Source organism: Homo sapiens, chromosome 8, assembly GCF_000001405.40.
Source record: "Homo sapiens chromosome 8, GRCh38.p14 Primary Assembly".
Classification (NCBI taxonomy): domain Eukaryota; kingdom Metazoa; phylum Chordata; class Mammalia; order Primates; family Hominidae; genus Homo; species Homo sapiens.
In genome coordinates, this window is record NC_000008.11 from 117,355,740 (window position 1) to 117,376,951 (window position 21,212).

At 35.5% G+C, this 21,212-nt stretch overlaps 1 long non-coding RNA gene across 7 annotated transcripts in view, besides 1 other annotated feature; it reads right to left on the reverse strand.

Annotated features, from left to right (window-relative positions):
• The window catches only part of LOC105375716 (uncharacterized), a 436,284-nt gene that overhangs the window by 271,303 nt on the left and 143,769 nt on the right, over positions 1–21,212 (reverse strand). The gene's annotated exons all lie outside the window — the stretch shown is intronic.
• Positions 2,014–2,515: an enhancer, noted in NCBI's record as "NANOG hESC enhancer chr8:118369992-118370493 (GRCh37/hg19 assembly coordinates)". NCBI's record gives its function as "activates a minimal SCP1, AML or CMV promoter by ChIP-STARR-seq in naive H9 embryonic stem cells {active_cell/tissue: H9 hESC(naive)}" and the evidence as "EXISTENCE:reporter gene assay evidence [ECO:0000049][PMID:30033119]".

Here is a 21,212-nt window from a genome sequence, read left to right on the forward strand (position 1 = left end):
ATCTGAATCATACAAGTATCTCTTACCTAGGATGGCACTCAGGATCAAATTAATAAATATATGTAAAGCATGTAGAGTAAATCCTGGCAGATATTAAGAATTCAATAAAGACTGGCTATAGTTGTCATTGTTACCACCAAGAGTTGGAGGCTATATCAAACCTGGGGAGGGCTACAATGATAAGCAACGTTGCCCCCTGGGGAGGCTTAGGTTTTAGTGAGAAACAAGGCCAGTCAATTCTCCTCAATGCACAAAAGGATGTTGTATTAGTCGGTTCTCATTCTGCAAATAAAGACATACCCAAGACTTGGTAATTTAGAAAGGAAAGAAGTTTGATGGACTCACAGTTCCACATGGCTATGGGGGCCTCAAAATTATGGTGGAAGATGAGTCATATTCACTATCATGGGAAAAACCCACTCCCATAATTCAATTACCTCCCACTGGGTCCCCCCCATGACATGTGGGGATTATTACAATTCAAGGTGAGATTTGGGTGGGGACACAGAGCCAAATGATATCAGGTGTTCCGGGAGACCTGTGGACAAGTTACACCTCACTGATAGGGAATTTCCCTAACATGTCATCTAACTATTTATTTTCTGCCTTCTCTTTAAAAATCCAGGGGTGGGACTGGCAAATTGTGGCTGCTTCTTTATTGTTACATAATGTATTCTATTATCTGCATGCACATTTCTCAGAAGACAATTTATACAGGCTGAAAAAAATGTATCTCTTGAAAACTCTGTTTGAAATATTACTTGCTTGATACTTTTATGTTGATCTTAGAGAAAAATGAGGGAATGTTTCTTAAAGGAGGTAATAAAATTACAATTGGATGCCAGCATGAGTTATCATCTGAGCCTGAGGAGGTACACTAAAAAGACCAGGACTCAGACTTTGAAGAAGTCACTTGGACATGCCCATTGGTCATCAGCTGAAGGTAACCATTCCTGCCACCACCTTCTACGACCAATGTGCCATAATGTATTAACTTCCAGTGGCACCTGTAACAAATTGCCACAAGCTAGGTGGCAGAAAGCAACAGAAATGTATTCTCTCAGCATTCAGGAGGCCAGAAATCCTAAATCCAGGTGTCAGCAGGACCATACTCTCCCTGGAGGCTCTGGGAAGAGAATCTATTTCATTTTTTTCTCTTGGCTTTTGATGGCTGCTGGTAATCCTTGGAACTCCTTGGCTTAGAGCTGCATCATTCCGATCTCTGCCTCTGTGTTCACATGGCCTCAATCTCTTCTGTGTCTTCTTTTTTGTCTCTTATAAGGACACTTGCCATTGGAGTTGGAGCCCACTTGGGTAATCCAGGATGATCTTATCTGAAGATCCTTAATTATACCTGCAAAGACCCTTTTTTCCAAATAAGGTAATATTCACAGGTTCCAGGAATTTGGATGTGGATGAATTTTTTTTTTTTTTGGTAGAATCAGGGAGAGTCACCATTCCACCCACTACACATGCCACCTTCCTACTGTGCTTGGACTTTACAGGTAATCCCACCTTCAACAGAGGACAGAAAAGCAGTTCAGGGAGTGCTGAATATTACTTGGCATTGCCCAAATGAGGGAATAAAGGAAAGAGAGAAATAATTAAATTTAAGATTCATGAGGGCAGAAACTGTGTGTATTATTTATTCTTATTCCACAACACCTATAACAGTGCTTGGCATACAGAGATTTTTGATAGATGTTCATTAATTTTATGAATGAATGAATAACTCATAAATTAGTCTTCATCTCTCGGTGTCCTGAAGGAATCAAATTTGGCCTCACTTAATCACTGAAACTTTGGTATCCCCAAGCAAAAAGGCTATCACCAGAGAAACCTGACACTGAGTCCAGGAAACCTGGGTTGGTGAAAATGCTCCTGGGAACCTGAGTTGGGCTGGGTTTGGTAGGAGAATGGGTCCTGGGGTGCGAGTACAGCTGCAGGGGCCAGAAGGGAAGCCAAGCTTCATTGTGGGTTCTAGAGAATGAGCATGTCTCTTTTGGCAATCATAAATATCTCCTCTTCCCATGATTGTTTAGCATCTTCATTTACAATAAAACAGCAGTTAAGAATGTGACTACATCCTTTTTGAACCTTCCAATGATAGAAAGCCATAAATTTTAAAAGTCAAAAACAACAACAAAAACTCACTCTTAATTCGCATGCTTTCCTGTAGAGAGAAAGGGAATAAAGGACTCCTAGGAGCATCCATTCTTTAAATTCTCTTCTTCTGGGTTTCCTCAAAGAATCTGATTAGCAGCCTTTCACCCAGAAACAATGAACTGCAGGGAAGCTCAGTGATTAGAGCAAACAGATAGCAGTCAGAAAATTCTCTGAGTGGCTCTCCATGGCCTTCCAAAAGACACTTGACAATTCTGTGTCTCAATTATTGGCAAATTGGGGACAGTGGTAGCAACACTTGCTTACCCTTCAGGGATGCTGTAAGAGCCAATTAACCATGGGTGATGTCAGTGGAGATTGAGGAATGAGCACCACTGCATAGTTAGAAAGCATTATTACCGTAGTGTGAGTGGTGAATGGAAAGTAGAGGTTGAGCAAGGAAATTCATGGGTTTGCCTTGCAGCAGCTTCCTGATAAGTTGCCAGTAGAGTCTTCCTAATTTATCTCATTCTGCCTGCATGGGGATTTCTATCTAATAGTCCCTGTAGATGACAGAGAGAAAAAGTGAGGAAGCCAGGTCAGGCAAAAAACATTGACAAGAAGAAAGAAGCCACTGCAGAAGGGGTTTTTCTAAAGCTGAATTTTAATCATCTTTTTAAATTATATCTAGAATGTGGATTGAGGAAGGGGCATGAGAGGAGTTTGACATGAAGTTGGAGAGGAAGCAATCAATCTTGAAGATGCATTTCATGTGGAATCTAGGGAGCCAAGATCCTGAGCAGTGACCTTCAGGACTTAAACTGGTGTTCACCAGCTTGACTTGAGATCTTCTAGTAAGACACAGGACTTTGCAAACTGAGCTGCAAGGCCAAATAGTGCAGGCTGATAGCTCTGTATAACATGTTAGCAATGTGTGAATCCAATTTGTGCAATACCAAAAAAAAAACCGCTTTAAAAATTGAAATAAGAATATATAAGTACTTACAAGGCTGCCGGGTTGATGATTTGGGGAGAGAGCCTGGAAAAATTAAAGATTGCCTTCAAACCGAAGCCAATATGCCAATCTCCACCTGGGAATTTTGGCTCAATGCCAGTTTTGATGTGTTTATTACTAACTCCTTGTGGTGAGCAAAAGAAAAAACATCAATTTGCATAAGGAAAGAAGAAGAGGTCTTTAAACACTGAAACCTAGGCAGCTGGAAAAAAAAATCCTCAAAAGAAATGTAATCCGATTCTGCCAGTTGGCCGAGAAGGAAATTTGGGAATTTAGGAGAAAATCCATAAATCTGGACTACCTCGGAGGGCTAATATATGTTGAAGTTGTTTAGAGATTGAGCAATCTTTTGGCCATGGGATTTTAGGGATATTGGGAGTGGGAAGTGTTAATCTCACCATGGTTTGAATCCCACAAATTCCTTCTGCCTTTATATAGTTATCATTACTGAGCTCTTATTATACAGCAGACGCTGTGCTAAATGGTTTATATATATTAATATATTTAATTGTTGCAACATTCCTATAGAGACTGAAGTTACTTTCATTTTAGACACGAGCAATCTGAGACACAAGAAAGGTTACAAAATTTTCCCATAACCATACAGTTAACAAGCTGTGATCTAGGACTCAAACCCTGAGATTCTGACTCCAAAGCCCTTGTTCTATGATTACTGTTGTTCCCTCTTGCAAAACACCTGGAAGATATACACACACACAGTTTTATATATATACGTGTGTGTATGTGTATATATATGTGTGTGTCTGAGATAGATAAAATTTAAATTCTTATCCAGGTTTATAGCTCAGATGAAATGGGATGAGTGCCCTAAAAATGCTATTGAGAAGATGCTATGGGAGGTTGGTGAGGGACGAGACTAATTCTACTGGGCTTAGGGAAATGGGTGAAGTGAAACACTAGAGAGAGGGGGCAGTAAACTTGTAGAGACCGAAGTTCTTGCTGGCTTTATTACATATTAAGTATTTGCTGTCTCATGAAATCCCATAGCAGGCCTATGAAGTATGTAGTATCTTATCTATTTTACAAATGGGGGAATTATAGCAGAGAAATGTGAAATAAACAATTGATAGTCATACATGGAATGGAAAGAATAATGGCTAGAGTGTCAAGTTGGAGTTCTGAATGCAAAAGGCCTCATCCTTTCTTCTATTTTTTTAAGATGGAGTCTCGCTCTGTTGCCTAGGCTGGAGTGCAGTAGCATGATCTCTGCTCACTGCCAACCTCCGTCTCCCAGGTTCAAACGATTCTCCTGCCTCAGCCTCCTGAGTAGCTGGGACTACAGGCATGCACTACCATGCCTGGCTAATTTTTGTAGTTTTTTTTCAGTAGAGACAGGATTTCACTATGTTGGCCAGGCTGGTATTGAACTCCTGACCTCACGATCCACCTGCTTCGGCCTCCCAAAGTGCTGAGATCACAGGCGTGAGCCAACGCACCCAGCCAGCCCTCTTCCTTTCTATTAAATTACGTTGCTTCATGAAGTGCCAGTCAAGGTGGGAAATGCACAATGTCTCGGGTTTCCATAGCAGAATGGGAAAGATTTTCAAGATAAAAAAAATTATGCATTTGAAAATGCAGAGGCGGAAAAGTACAGTGAAGTTTTGGAAAAGTATAAATAGTCTAATTTAAATGAATATGAAAAATCAGAAGAGGCTGGGAAGGAATGGCTTACCAAATCTTGGATTTTGCCTTGTCAGAAGAGAATAAACCTCTACTCTGAAGGCAGTGAGAGTTACTGCAGGTGTTTTAGCTGAAGGGAAGGTGATCAGGGTGGTGAGTTAACATCAATGTACAGGCTGCATTCCTCCCCCTGAATACAACCCTGGAGGTTCCATGAAAGCAAAAAGAAGACTGAGGAATCTATTGAAATAAGAAATACAGCAACATCAGGGCAAGGAAAAGCAATGGGTTAGGTCCTTGCATAACCTTTGGGTGGAGTAAGGGGTGGAATAATCAACCCAGACATCTGATATGGAGCAGGGAAGCAATTTTCCACCTCTGACAGCTATTTTCTCTCCCTGATATTGCCTTGAGACGACAATAATCTATGTAAATAAAAAAACAAACTACAAAGCAGAACAAGAGCAACCAGCCTATCCCCTATAGTGATGGCAGGGAAAGTCTTGGGGTGCTGCTGAGTCCACTTGGGGTGAAATCAGCTAACCCATAAGTGCAATGGGCCTGGTTAGCCTTTCGGTGTTCCCTTTCCTTCCTGCACATCCTCTCTATACATCAAGTGCTATGTGATTACAACTCAGGTTAAGAATTCTTGATCAAGAGCAGTGCCAACATTGACATATAAGTGGTAATTTCAGAGGTTCCCTGCTCCAAAGTGTTTACCCTGTTACACACACACACACACACACACACACACACACACACACACACACACACACATCTTAACCCCTTATATTTACTATCAGGGGCACACGCTAGCTTCTGGCTTTTTGCCCTTCCTGCCAAAGTCACATTTCCATAGAGGTAAATTAAGTTGCTAAAGGAATATAAATTTATGGAAAAAGATAAAGATATTTTCAGAGCATAACTGCAATGAAAGAAAGACAACTGATGAATTCAGCTATATCAAATAAAAGCAAAAGTAATGTATCAGAGTAAGAATTTAAAATAAATATATTTTCTAAAATATGTAAGAAAAAATATTAGATCCATGCAGCAAACATGAAAAATCATAAGGAAGAATCAACTGGAGATATTAAGAAAAATGTTACGGTTGAAATAAATAACTGGACTGAATAGCGGAAGAATACATGTAAAAATCATTTTGTGAAATTCTCTCAGACAACATCAAGATAGGATAAAGAGATAGAAAATTTTAAATTAAAAGACAAGGAGAGTAGAATCGGAAGTGTCAAGGTTCATATCAATGAAGTCCCAGATGGAGAGAGAGAGAAACCTATGAGAAAAAACAAAAACGATGAAAAGTATTGATCAATAATGTTGAGATTACTTTTAAAAAATCAAGAATCGGCCAGCCGTGGTGGTTCATGCCTGTAATCCTAGCACTTTGGGAGGCCAACGTGGGTGGATCACCTGAGGTTAGGAGTTCAAGACCAGCCTGGCCAACATGGCAAAACCCCATCTCTAGTAAAAATACAGAAATTAGCTGGGTGTGGTGGTGCGTGCCTGTAATCCCAGCTACTCAGAAGGCTGAGGCAGGAGAATCACTTGAACCCAGGAAGCGGACGCTGCAGTGAGCTGAGATCATGCCACTTCACTGCAGCCTGGGGGAAAGAGCGAGACCCCATCTCAAAAAAAAAAAAAAAAATCAAGACTCAGATTGATGCTAAAATTTTTAATAACAACATAAAATATATAGAGTAAAATTTTAAAACTTTAAAAAAAACTATCATTTAATCTGGAATTGTGTGTCTAGGTAATCTATCATTAAAATCCAAGAGTTAAATAAGTATACTCTCAGTTTATCACAAAAACTTCCTCTGAAAAAATACTCTTGGATAAGTTATTTCTTCAAAAAATGAAATCAGACTGAGGGGATATAATAAGGCATGGGGAAATTGTGACTAAAGGAGTTAGTAAAACTTACTACTGACTACAATTTGGTGAGAAAGGAGGTACCAGAGGGAGAACTTGCTTATGTATTTGTCCAGAAAGGGAGTTGTGGGGTGGGTGTGTGTGTCTGTGTGAGTTTGATAGGAAAAATATGCATAAATATGGCTCTCAACAAGTTAGGGGTAAACTCCAAAACCCTACAAATAGACTATGATACTTAAAAAGCAGGAAAATAAAATTTGATATATCCAATGAAAAGTAAGACGGTGGTAAGGGAAAATGAAAATGAAGTATGTAACATGGAAATTATTGAATATTTAGATAAGAAATAATGGTATTTGAAATAAATAAAAATTAAAGACAATTACATTGGATTTTTTTTTAAAATGAAGTAAAACAGTATGCTGTTTACTGGAAATATTCAAAAGAATGCATTTTGAAAAGAGTGAAATGTAAGAATGTGTATCAGGCAAAATAATGCAAAAGACAGCCATGACAGCAATTTTAATATTTGTCAAAATATATTTTTGCATCTGAATATCTGTAAAGGTATACTTTAAAAAGCAATCATATACTGGTAACAGAAATAATATATCAAGAAATTGTAGCAACCACGAATGTATGTGTAACAGACAATAGAGCCTCAAAGTATACAAAGCAACAACTAAGAGTCAAATGAACACTAGATAAATTAATAATTTAGATATTTCAGCATGAACTTTTCAGAAACTGGTGGATTAAGATCATTAACATAGGTTGGAAAGGGAGAGAAGCTGGAGAAAGAATAATTAGAATGTGATTGAAATAATTTAGATTACAGTTATGATGATTCTGTGCTAGGGTGGGGATAGAGACTGTAGTTGTAGGCCCAATGAGAATGAGTATATTTTGAAATTTTTGGGTGCCATTATCAGATGAAAATAAGTTAAGGGAAGTGGGTTTGGGGGATATAAGATAAATGTATTTAAGGTGTATCAATTATAATCCACTTCTTTAGAAGTTACAGATTGCCATTAGATCTCTGTGAGAAGAATGGGGTAGGATAACTTCCATCATTAGAGTTCCCAAGTCTCTTTAGAAATAGTGTTTCCTTTGGTGAAAGGCATTGAAGCCTTCTCAAATATTTTATCTGGAAGGGATTAATGCATTAGGCTCTCACTAGCCATTAACTCCTTAGCACAGGTAATTTTATCAGATTAGCCCTAGTAAAGAGAATGGAGCATTTATATGACATGGACACGATACAGGAACATTCTGATGGAAGAGAAAAATGAAATCAGAGAAAGAAAGTAGATTCTTTTAAATGTTTTTAAAATACCGTTCTCTTAGTCAATCTATATCTTCACTATCAAAAATACAAATTTGTTGTTCCCTCCTCTATGCTCCCATAGCTTCTTTTCCAACAATTTATTGCAAAAAAATTGTCAAACACACAGCAAAGTTGAAATATTTTTTCAGTAAATAATTCTATATGTCCACCATCTAGATTCTATCATTAGCATTTTACTCTTTATTTGCTTGATCACATATCTAGCCATCTTTCTAGTCATTCATATATCCTTCTCATTTTTAATGCATTTAAACTACAGACAATGGTATACTTTATATTTTTCAGTATTTTCTTATAATATTTACATACAACAAAAAGCATATATCTTCACTATATATTTTCCAAGTTTCAACAAAGGTATACACCTCTATAAACCCAATAAGACATTATCATCACCACAAAAATGTCCCTTCATGCGTCTTCCCAGTCCAACTCAGCCTTTGCTTCCCAGAGGAGATTGTTCTAGAATATCTTATATATGAAATTATGCATGCAGTATGTACTCTTTTTGGCTAGTTTCCACTCAGCCTAACATGTTTTGGATTCATCTATACTGTTGCATGTCACAGTTGTATATGAGTATACTGCATAAATTCACCTCCATTTGTTTCTTCATTCTCCGATTGGTGGACACTTGGATTATTTCTACTGCCTATTCAGTTCTTTCATAGTGTCTTGTGAGTGGAAGTTTTTGCTTTTGTCATTTGTTTGCTTATGAAGTCTAATTTATTATTTTTTCTTTTATGGTTTTTCTGTAATCTGTCTAAGAAAGCTTTGCCTGCTGCCAAGTTATCAAGGGAGATGGCTCCTGTTCTCCTCTAAAAGCTTTATGGTTGGGTTTGGTAATCCTTTTGTTTTGTTTTGAGACAAGGTTTCTCTCTGTTGCCCAGGCTGGAGTGCAGTGGTGCCATCAAGGTTCACTGTAACCTCCGTCTCCTAGGCTCAAGTGATCCTCCCACCTCAGCCTCCCGAGTAGCTAGTACTACAGGAGCACCACCATGCTAGGCTAATTTTTTTAAAAGTTTTTTTGGAGAGACAAGGTCTCACTCTATTACTCAGGCTGTTCTCAAACTCCTGGGTGCAAGCAATCCTCTTGCCTTGGCCTCTCAAAGTGCTGGGATTATAGACGTGAGCCACTGTGCCCAACCTGGTGATCCATTTTTAATTTGTGCATATGTGTGTATGATATGAGAATCATCATGGCAAGGCTCTTTTTTTTCCATATGAATATCCTGTTTTTCCAGCAATATTTGTTGAAAAAATTTTCCTTTTCCATTAGATTGTTTTGATGCTTTTGTTGAAAATTATATGACCATGTAAGTGTCTATGTCTGGACGTTTTACTGCCAGTTGTGTTGACCTAATAATGAATCCTGAATGCTAGTACCATATTTTCTTGATTATTTGAGCTGTACAATAAGTCTTAAAGATGGATAGTGAAAGGTCCTTCAATTTTGTTCTTCCAAGATTTCCTTGGAGGTTCTAGGTCCTTTACCTATATATTTCAGGATAAGCTGGTGTCAATTTCTAATAAAACACCTTCAGCAATCTTGAAACTCATTGATTCTATAGATCATTCTGGGGAATATTGCCAACTTTAAAATACTCAATCTTCCAGTTCAATAATACAGGATACCTATCCACTAACTTAGCAGCTTTGCAATTTCACTCAGCAAATTTTTTGCAGTTTTAAAAATATAGGTCTATATCATTCAGCTTTAAAAAGGAAGAAAATTTTGACATATGCTGCAATATGAATGAACCTTGAAGACATTATGCTAAGTGAAATAAATTAGTGATGAAAGGGCAAATCAATTAGCAGTAATGGCAAGATCACTGCTGTTCAACCCAAGATTATCTTAACAGTCAGACTTGAGAGTAGTGGGATGGCTGTCTTGGAGAGTAGAGAATACCACATTTTTTTCTGGAAGGTTCCAATGGAGGTGATAAAGCAGCACTCACATGGAATATTATTCAGCCTTGAAAGGAAATTCTGACACATGCTACACAAGGGTGAACCTTGAGGACATTATGCCAAGTGAAATAAGCCAGTCACAAAGGGCAAATATTATGTGATTCCACTTTTATGAGGTACCTAGGGCATCCAAATTTATAGAGACAGAAAATCAAACAATGGTTTTCGGGGGGTAGAGGGAGGGAGAAAATGGGGAGTTATTGTCTAATTGGTACAGAGTTTGTGATGATGAAAATGTTCTAGAGACGAACAGTGAAGATGGTTGCACAACAGTGTGAATGCACTTAATGCCAATAAACTATATACATACAATGATTAAAACAGAAAATTTGTCATTATGTCTATTGAACCAGAATTAAAAAGTAGCAAATTTTTTCATTAGGTATACCTAACCACAGTAAAAAAGTACAAGTCTTCATTTTTTAAAATGATACCATTTTGAAAAAAGAGTACTAGTTTAGATGCTATTTTGAAAATAGATACTATTTTGAAAATAGTTTAGATACTATTTTGAAAAAAAATTTTTAATTTTTAAATTTTGTTTTCTAATTTTTTTATAGTATATAAACCCACAATTTTTATTTATACTAACGTCGAATGCAGTGACGTTGCTAAATTTACTTATTAATTCTATTATTTTTCAAAGTCCTTAGAATATTCCATGTAGACAACGATATCAGCAGCAAATAGAGGGTTGTATTTCTTGCTCTAAAATTTATAGCTGAAATTAATTTTTCTGATTTCAGTGCTTAATAATACCAGCAGTGAGCTAGGAATTCCTTGCCTTATTCCTGATTTTGGAAAGAAATCATTCAATGTTTCACTGCTAAGTGATATGTTAGCTGTAGGTGTTTTTTGATACCCCTTATCAGAGTGAGGAAGTTTTCATTTATTTCTAGTTTAAATTTTTTTTAATCAGAAACAATGTTATTAAATCAAGTTTAGCCTAAAGTTGCCACCTTACACATTTTAAGTTCACTCTACAAGTTTCTCCATACACAGTGAACTGTGACCTAACTGGATGTGTAAACAGACTATAGCCTACCCTTATACCAATCTCTGAGCTTCATTCAATCAAAGGCGACCAACTTTTCAAACCCTGTTTAAATAAGGCAAACACCGACCTGTAACCAATTCAGCAGTTTCTGTACCACACGTCCATTTTCTGTACATCACTTTGCATTTTCTATCCATAAATGCTCTCTGGCTATGTGGCAGTGCAGAGTCTCTCTGAAACTATTCTGGTTTCAGGGGCTGCCTGATTTGTGAATTGTTCTTTGTTCAATTAAACTCTGTTAAATATAACTTGTCTAAAGTTGTTCTTTTAACAGTGTTAAATTTCATCAAATACTTTTTTCTGCATCAACTAAAATTATCACATGATTTTTTTCTTTTATTCTATTGTTATGATGAATTAAACTGACTGACTTTCAAATGTTATACTAACCTTGCATTTCTAGGATAAACCCCACTTGGTCATGATATAAAATCCTTTTTATATAGGGCTAGAATTGATATTTTGCTAAGGATTTCTGTATCCATGTTCAAGAGCGATATTGATCTGTAGTTTCATTTATGTATTTGTTTTGTAATTTCTTTGCTGGGTTTTGAATAGAGTTTTGAAGGCCTCAAAAGAAGTTTGGAAGTATTCTTTTTCTACTTTCTGAAAGAGATTGCATAAAATTGGTAATAATTATTCCTTAAATATTTGATAGCATTCACTAGAAACCCACCTGGCCCAGGAATTTTCTTCATGTGAAGATTGTTAACAGCAAATTCAACTTCTTTAACAGAGGTAGAACTATTGATATTTTCTGTTTTATCTTGTGTCAGTTTTGGTAAGCTTTATTTTCAAGGAATGTGTTTGTTTTAATTAAATTTTGACCTAAGTTTGTTTATAATATTCTTACTGTTCACTTAATATTTGTAGAATCTGCAATGATAATCCCTCTTTCATTCCTGATATTACTACTTTATGTTCTTAATCTTTTTTCCTCTATCAGTCTATCAATTTTGCTCATCTTTTCAAAGAATCATCTCTTCATTTAATTTTTCCTCATTTCTCTGATTTCTCTTTCATTGACATTTAATCTAATATTTATTAGAAAATCTTTGTGTTTACTTTGCTTTTCTTTTTGTTGTTTCTTAAAATAAAACTTAAGTAATGGATTTTAGACCTTTAGTTTCTAATATAGGCATTTATTTTTTACATATCTAAAAAATTTTAATTTGTTGTATTTTTATTATCCAGCTCAAAATAATTATTTTATGCTTTATTGACCTGTATTATTTAGATGTGTGTTTAATTTTCAAATGTTTAGAGTCTTCTAGATTGTTATATTTCAATTGCATAATCAGATAAGTTACTCTGTATAATCTACCTAACTAAAGATTTGTTGAATTTGTTTTTATGGTCTATCTTGTTGATTTGAAATTATTTTTATGGTCTATCTTGTTGAATGTGTCACGTGCACTTGGAAGAGAATGTGTATTCTGTATATCTTGGGTGTGTTGTACTATAAACATCAATTAGACCAAGGTAGTTTATAGTGTTTGTCAGATTATCTATATCTTTACTAATATGTTTTGTTTAGTTTTTTAATCAATTGCTAAGAGACAAGTGTTAACATTTCCAAATATTATTTGAAATTTATTTTTCCCTTTAATTCTGTTAATTTTTGCTTCATTTATTTTGAAGTTATTAAGTGAACCTTCATTTAGAGTTGCTGTGTCTTCATGATAAATTGACTCTTAATAATGTGGAATGCGTCTATTTCTGGCAACACCATTTATCTTGAAGTTTTTCTTTTATTTGACATTAATATGGCAGCCAACACTCTTTGTGTTTGCTGTTTGTACATTATTTTTCCACTCATTTATTTTCAACTTATCATTGTATATATAAATTGTGTTATTATACAATATGTAGCTGAGGGTATGAAATTGTTTTTATTCCTATTTTGATAATTTCTGCTTTTTAGTTGTTTGCTTCACACTAATTAATTATTAATGTTATTTTATTTAGGCCTACCTTTCTATTATTTGTTCATCTCCATTTTATCTCTGTTCTTTATTTCTTGACTTCTTTTAGATTAATTAATATTTCATTAAAATTTTCATTTCAATTTTGTTGCTAGCTTTTTGGTTATGTCTCTTTGTAATTTCTTAAATTTGGTACTCTAGTGGATTACAATAAATAACCTTGACTTTTCACAGTACATTTTAGTTAATATTGTACCCTTCATGTAAAATGTGAAAATCTTACAATTGTATACACCTGTTTACCCCCCCAAGCCTGTTTCTTATGCTACAGTAATCATATGTACTACATATACTTCTATCATGAAACTAAAAACTAATTTCTGCTTTCAACAGTCAAATGTACTTTAAAGAAATTAATATGAAGAATATATTTTACAATATTTATCATTTCCAGTGCTTTTTGTTGTTTGCAAAAGACCTCAACTTTTTTCAAGTATCATTTGCCTACAGCCTGAAGAATTTCTTTTAGCATCCCTTGTAATCTCCAACTACTGTCAATGAATATTCTTCTTTTTGTTTCATCTGAAAGGAGTTTTACTTTGCCTTCATTCTTGAAGGTTATTTTCATGGGATATAAATTTCTGGGTTGAAAGTTTTGTTTTTCTCTTAGCTTTAAAGACGTTTATCTTCTGTCTTATGGCCTCGCTAGTTTCTGATGAGTATTCAGAAGTCTTTTGAATTATTGTTTCCCTATACATTATATGTTGTTTTTCTATAGCTGTTTTTTAGATTTTCCTTTCATTTTTGTTTTTAACACTTTGTTTTATTTATTTGTTTTTCAAGTTTCCACCATTTCATGTTTTTAGCACTTTGAGTATAATGTTCTTAGGCATAGTTTTCTTTATAATTATTCTGCCAAGGGCTCACTAACCTCCTTTAGTTACCATATTTATGTCTATGGCCAAATTTGAAAAAAATGTACACCATCCATTCTTCAAAATTTTATCAAGGCATTATATATACAACAAAAATTAACTATTTTAAAAAATATACAATTATTTTAAAGCTTATTGTATAGTTTAAAATACACAATTGGTGGTATCTAATACATTCACAAGGTTGTGCAACTGTGGTCTCTAGCTCAAAAATGTTTTCATTACCCCAAAGAAGAGCCTGTACCCATTAAGTAACCACTCTCCACCCTTTCTCCATCCAACCCCTGACAACCACCAGTATGCTTTCTGTCTCTATGGGTTTATCTATTTCAGATATTTTATATAAATAAAATTGTATAATATATGACCTTTCATGCTTGTCTTCTTTTGCTTAGCATAATGTTTCCAAGGTTAGTCCATGTTGTATTTAATAGTATGTGTCAGTACTTAGTTCTTTTTGCCAAAAAATATTCCATTATATGTCTATATCACAGTTTGCTTGCTCATTCATCCACTGGTGGACATTTGACTTGTTTTCACCTTTTGGCTATTGTGACTAATGCTTCTGTGAGCATTCATATGCAAGCATTCATGTGCAAATATCTGTTTAAATACCTCTTTTTAATTCTTTTCCTCAGTGGCTGCACCATTTGATGTTCCCTCCAGCAATATATAAGGTCCCAATTTTTCCACATCCTCACCAACACATTTTTTTTTGTTTTCTTTTAAATAGCCATCTTAGTGAATGTGAAATTGTATCTTTTTGTAGTTTTAATTTGTATTTCTCTTATAACTAATGATACCAAGCATTATTTTTCATGTGCTTCTTGGCCATTTGAATACCTTTTTAGAGAAATATCTTTCAAGTATCTTGACCATTTTAAATTGAATTATGGTCTTTTTGTTGTTGAGTTGTAAGAATACCTTATATATTCTGGATATTAGACCTTTAATAGATATATTATTTGCAAATATTTCTCCCATTCTATTGGTTGCCTTTTCACTATCTTTATAAGGTCCTTTGATGCACAAGAGTTTTTAATTTTGATGAAGTCTTATTTTTTGTGTGTTTGTTCCTTGTGCTTTTGTGATCTCAATTTCTTCTGTTCCATTGTATATCTTTTATCCTCAGCAATTACAATTATATACACATTAGATTTTAGACATTGTCTTACAGTTTTATGAGGCTCTCTTATCTCCAGACTCTTTTCCTTTGCCATTTCCATTCAGTTTTTAAGTCCACCCAAAAAATATTTCTTTTACATCATCATACATAGCTGCTTTAAAACCCATATAATCTAATTACAGTTGGTCTTAGTAGATTGTTTATTCTCTTGAGAGTGGATCACATTTTCCTAGTTCTTCAAATGTCGAGTAACTTCTTATTATATCCCGAAAGGCGATATTATAGATTCTGTTATATTCTTCCAAAGAATGGGCTCTTTCTTTTAGTAGACAGTTAACTTGGTTGAATTCAAGTTACAAAAAAATCTTTTTGGGAACAGCTCAGATCTCAATTCAGTGCCCTTATCTCTAGCTGGACTGCTTTGATTCTGCCCACGTATGTGTGGTTCCTTGGTTATCTAGAAATTTGGGCAGAATTTATTTCCAAAATGTGGGGCTCACTCTCTTGTTCTTTTTTTTTTTTTTCTGAATCCTTACCTACCTCAGTTTTCAGCAAAGGTAATTTCCCTGAACTCTGTTCTCTGGTTCTTTAGTTCAGAAAGTCTGTCTCTTTTCTGTTGGAGTTTTAGGCTTTAGCCTACTTTCAGACTAATACCTGCAATAATGAAAAAATGCACCTCATTCTTTTTCCTTCTGGCAAGTTTTGGCACTTATTTACAGTCTGTCTTATTTTGTTCACTCCCTAGTTTCTACAAATATTTTTATGTTTTGTTCAGAGTTTAGAATTGCCATTCATAGGAATGTAGACCATGATGGGGCTTACTCTGCCATACCAGATACAGAATTGCCTCTAGTTCGTTGAAAATATTTCTATCACAACACTATATTTGATTATATAATAGCTATTTATGCTTTATTTTTCCTGTCCGACTACATTCTTGTTGTGCATAAAGAAGAGTCTTCTTTTAAAGTTGTGAAAATATATAGTCTTTTTTTTTTTTTTTCTGTTTAATGAATTCCTTTTGGAAACTCCTGCTACTGCTTCTGAGATAGTATCTCCATCACACAGACTCATATTTCCCTGTTTAAGGGATTTGGCCATTTGGAGACAGTTTATCACCTTATGTTATTAAAATTTGAATGGCCCACGTAAGCCAGAAACTGCCATGAGTCTCCTTCGCGACATGTAGAGAGAGGTTTCCTGAAATGAAAACCTGTAAGGAGTAAGATGACCTGAGAGAAACAGAATGGAAGAGAGGATCTTGGTGGCATAATTTAACTTTAGAATTCCCTTTTGCTTAAAGCCAATTTCACTCCTTTGCCCTCCAAGTTACAAAAGTCATAAATATCTATGAGAAAAGAGTTTGCATTCACTTTCTGACACTGACAACATATATAATACTAAATCCTCTATACCTGGAAAAGATAGATAGTGAATTCTTGGATAATAAGTGAATGACTGATGATAGGTACATATACAATATTACTGGAAAGGGGTAGCCTCTGAGTGAGCATGGCATAGGCATCCCTAATTATCAATGAGGTCACTTACAGGGAAATCAAACCACCTTAGTTCATCTTTCAATGTTGTTCAGGACTGACCTGACCTCTATCTGGAATCTGTGTATCCATTTTCACCTCTGCTAATATCTAGGCAAGCAATGAAATAGACATTTGATTTTTGTGGACAGCCTTCTTATACATTTCCTCATTTTCAATAATAAGAGCAAACTGGTGACATGCATGTTTGCTAATTTTTTTATTGCTTGTGCTAAGTGTTCCATTTTGAGAAGAAAGCAATTTGGCAGTGTTTAGTGACCCTCTTTCTTAGTGTCTTCACCTTGGCATGTTTTTCTGTCTCTGTCAGACCTGTGAGAAGATAGTTGTTGCTCAGTGATATGTTGTTCACAGAGGGGAAAGCCTCAGTCACAGGGTCTGTCTCCAGTAACATTTACAACACAGGGAGTACCATAACCAGCAGAGTTTGTGAAACCTCTTTCTTACAGCGTGCCAAGAATTCAATCTGTTTCTGGTTCCTGCAAACTAACAAAGCTGTTGCTATGTTATCACTCTAAAAGATGAAGCCATATAGTCATATGTAGGCTTCCCTTTATACAGTAAATACTATCCACTGATAGACCAAAAGCTTAGAAAACTGTATCTCAAAGGTTAACGTGTCTATTAGCAGCATGTTGACAATCTTCAGCACAAGGTGCGTACCTTGTTGATAATGTCTAAACTAGTCTATATCCTTCCATTGACGTCAGCAATAGCTTAAAATTCCAACTGCTTTGATTGACCCAAGATTTAAATTTAATAGCAGAAACATAATTATAAGAGAAATAAACTTTGGGGGGGGGGAAATTCCAACTGTGATATAATTAATATGTTTCTAATACATAACTAATAAAAATTATAACAACAATCCATCAAGGATCTCAGAAGAAGACGACAAAATAAAGGTTAAGAAGATAAAAAAATTTCTTAGAAGAGGAAAAAATAGATTCTGTGTGAAAAAGCATTTAAGTTACTAATCAAAGTAATATAAATTAGGAGATATTATTTCTTTACACATTATATAAGCAAAGAAGTAAAAACAATGTTATTGATACAAGTAGAGTGAGGCAAACATTTTTTATATCAGTTGGTAAGCATGCAAACACAGAACCTTTATGGGAAAAATGGAAAAAAATGTGTTTTCTGTATCTATTTACATATTAACTTTTTTCAGAAAATAATTTCAAGTTTATTAAAAGGATACACAAATATAACAAAAGGGATATTTGAAAAAAGAAAGAAACAAGGAAAGAAGGAAGGATCAGAATAAAGAGGAGAGGGGAAGGTGAAGAGAGTAGAGAAGAGGACAGGAGAGGAAAGAAAAGGAAAAAGGAGAAGAAAGGAGAGATGAGAGAAGAGGAGAAGAGAAAGGGGGAGGGGAAGGGAAAATAAACTAATGTTGGAGGCAAAATGCAGCTGAAAATAAGTTTGAAAATCAATACCTTGAGAACTTCACCAAGCTTTTTAAGCCATTTACCAGTCAATGGGATAAGAAGAATTACTATGAAGGAAAACTTTTCTTTCTATCATAGTCCACTAAATCTTTTAAATTACATGTGGATGCTTCCACACAAACCAATGGAAGTTACCTTGCTTGCTTTTCAGAACCTCAGAGATGGTTACTGCGACAGTCTTCCAGAAACACATACTATAACTATTGGAACTTCTCCTCTCCCCACTTTGGATAGAAGAGGTCATCTTTGTACAAAGAGATTTTTGTTGTTTTACTGAAATTTAAGTATATGTAGAAGGGTGTATACAGATTATGAATAGCCAAAGGGGTAGACGGTATTGGTTATTAAGATATTATATCTCAGCATCAAACCTATGCTTCTCTGCTGTTTTCTGATGCTGGAGTTGGACCTCTGTAAAACACATTTCTCCTTTACCAGCTGCATCTTGCTTAGGATCTGCTCATAGGGATGCTGGAAGAAAGACTTGAAGGCTGGAAGAGGAAGAAGCACTCATTTCTATTTTGCTTCTTGTTCCCACCATGTCACTGTAGCAATGGTTTGTTAATTACAGCTTGTGCCAGCAGCATTACTTCCAATGTGTAGTTCTCTCTAACCCTAGAACCAGCATCGCTGCATGTGCTCAGGAATGCAAATGCAACTGCAAGCAGCACCCCTTCCTCAGAGGTCAGAGTCCTGAATCCACAAGGTTCCTCCTTCATGTTCTTAGGTTTCTATAATTCCAACTTCTTCCCTTTTCTCTTCTCTGCAGGCTTACAGGTGCAGTTACTTCCTCTGGGATACCTCCCTGTCACATTTTGCCTTGATACCTTATATTAAATTTTCTCTGTAGAATAACTCTCCTGACTGAAGCTGGACTGATACAATGGAAATAATATCTGTATTATAAAGCTGTGTGGGTGGTGTGTATTATACACTCTAATTCTCTAAACAAGTCTATGTATTAGTATATGTTTTGTACGTATTATGTATAAATATATTTTGTACATAATATACTTAGAACAGTATGTGGCACATAATTTATTCTCAGTAAATATTAGTGTTACTACTAATAAAAATTAATTGCACTGCCTTGAGAACTGGCATTTTGATGTATAAAAGTCCTGATTTCAGCTAATAGAGTTCATGTTAACTGCAAACTTCAAGACACTTTCAAAAAAGTGAAAAATATATATAGCGAAGGCAAGGGAGTTTACCTAAGTTTTCTGAAATGAGAAATAACACAGTATTTTTTTCACTGAAATAACCTTGGAATCTTTATTTCCTTTCCTTTCTTTTTGGATATCATATGGAATATGGAATATGGTGGTCGTGAATCTTGATATGCCAAGAAATATATGAAGCAAGAAGATAAACTACTATGCATTAACCTCTTGCTATGTACCAGCTAATTTTCAGTATTATCCCATGCACCTTCACCATAAATCTAGTGGGTTAGGTATTATTATTCTCATTTTGTAAATAAGGGAACACAGATTCAGACAGCTTATAAATAGCTAGTCTTGTGTTACATATATTGGCAGAGGCAGAGCTAGGATGTGAAATGAGATTCGTATCTACAAATACATAAATATCATTAGAAAGGAAATGTCAGGGTATGCGCACATGGATGCGGAAGATTGCAACAAATGTAAGAGGTAAAGAGTTAAAGTCCACACAATGTTGAAAACTTTTTATAATCCAGTGAGAAAAAACTCCAGGAAACTCAAAGAAGAAACTTGAGCAGGGTCACACAGCAAGCGTGTGCTATAATCAGAGTTACAACTTGAGACTGATCAGTAGACAGTAGTCTTCCATCTAAACCTCACTTATCATGGAATTAACACCCCTACTGCTCATTTGAAAGAATAACCCAACTCCAGTCATGAAATCCATTGGCTTATATGAATTGTGAACTCTGTGGGATTAAAAAAAATCCCTTTCGACTACTAGAGGAATAAAACACGTTATTTACTAAAGTTTAATTAGACATATAATGACTTCTTCACAGGGAGAAAGAAGAAAGAAAAATCTACATTTCCAAGTGCATGGAATGATATTGCCAGAAGAGATCTGGCAAAGAGGGCCATTAGTGGTCATTAGCCTTTGTCTGCCAGGAAAAATTAACTTTTGTCTTCTTATAAAAAGGTTTACCCTGAAAGGTTTCTATTGATGTTACTGAAGTAAAGAAATTCTCTGCAGGTAAATTTTACATGGGGATATGTTATTTAATGCTAACGGGCTATAGAAGGGAGAATTTTCATGGAAGCATGTCAATGCTAAACATGAAGAAATATTTCCATGTGGGATTGGCTTGAATCCCATTAACATAGGTACTTCGCAATCTAGGAGTCCCAGGAAATGCAAATTATCCATTTCTAAAAGTATCAATTTTTAAAGGTTTTAAGTTTACTCTGTCATAGACTCCATTAAGCACTGTATTAGTCATAGACTAGGTTTATGCTGTGATAACATAAACTCATAATATCAGAAGCTAAAGACAACGAAGGTTTTATTTTCTGCTCATATGGAGTCTCTTCCAGGCATGGCTGGCTCTCCAGAGCAGCTGCCCACGTGATGACTTCGTCCTCCAGGCTTCTTTAACTTCATGTCACCAGCACACCAATATGAGCCTCCACAATCATTGTGTAGCGAAGGGCAGACTGCAAAGTCCAGCACTAGCAATGAACTATTTCTACTTAGAAGTGACAGATTATCTACACTCATATTCCATTGGCTGTGTCATGTGACCACTCCTGGCCTCAAGGACATGGGGAAAGCAAACCAGATAATGGCAAAGTGTGGCAATGTCTACCCAGTGTCTCATTTACACTTCCCACAACCCTGTGATGTAAATACAATATTATCTTCTTTTTGCAAATAAGAAACCTGAGTCATAGAGTCATTAAATACATTTCCCGGTGTCACAGAGATATAGAGTGACAGAACTAGGATTCAAACATCAGTTGGCTAACCCCAAAAATGTGCTCTAGCCACCGTGCCTTCCTACGTTCCTGGATGTATTTTGCATGGGCTCCTGAATGGATGTCTAATTTCTGCCATGATTATTGCTCTCAGGGAACACTCCCCTAAGAACAGAGTTGAGAAAAGTTTAAAGTAACTTTGAGTCTCTATCTTAGCAAGAGAGAGGAACAACCCACCAGGGATCACACTAATAATGTTGCAAC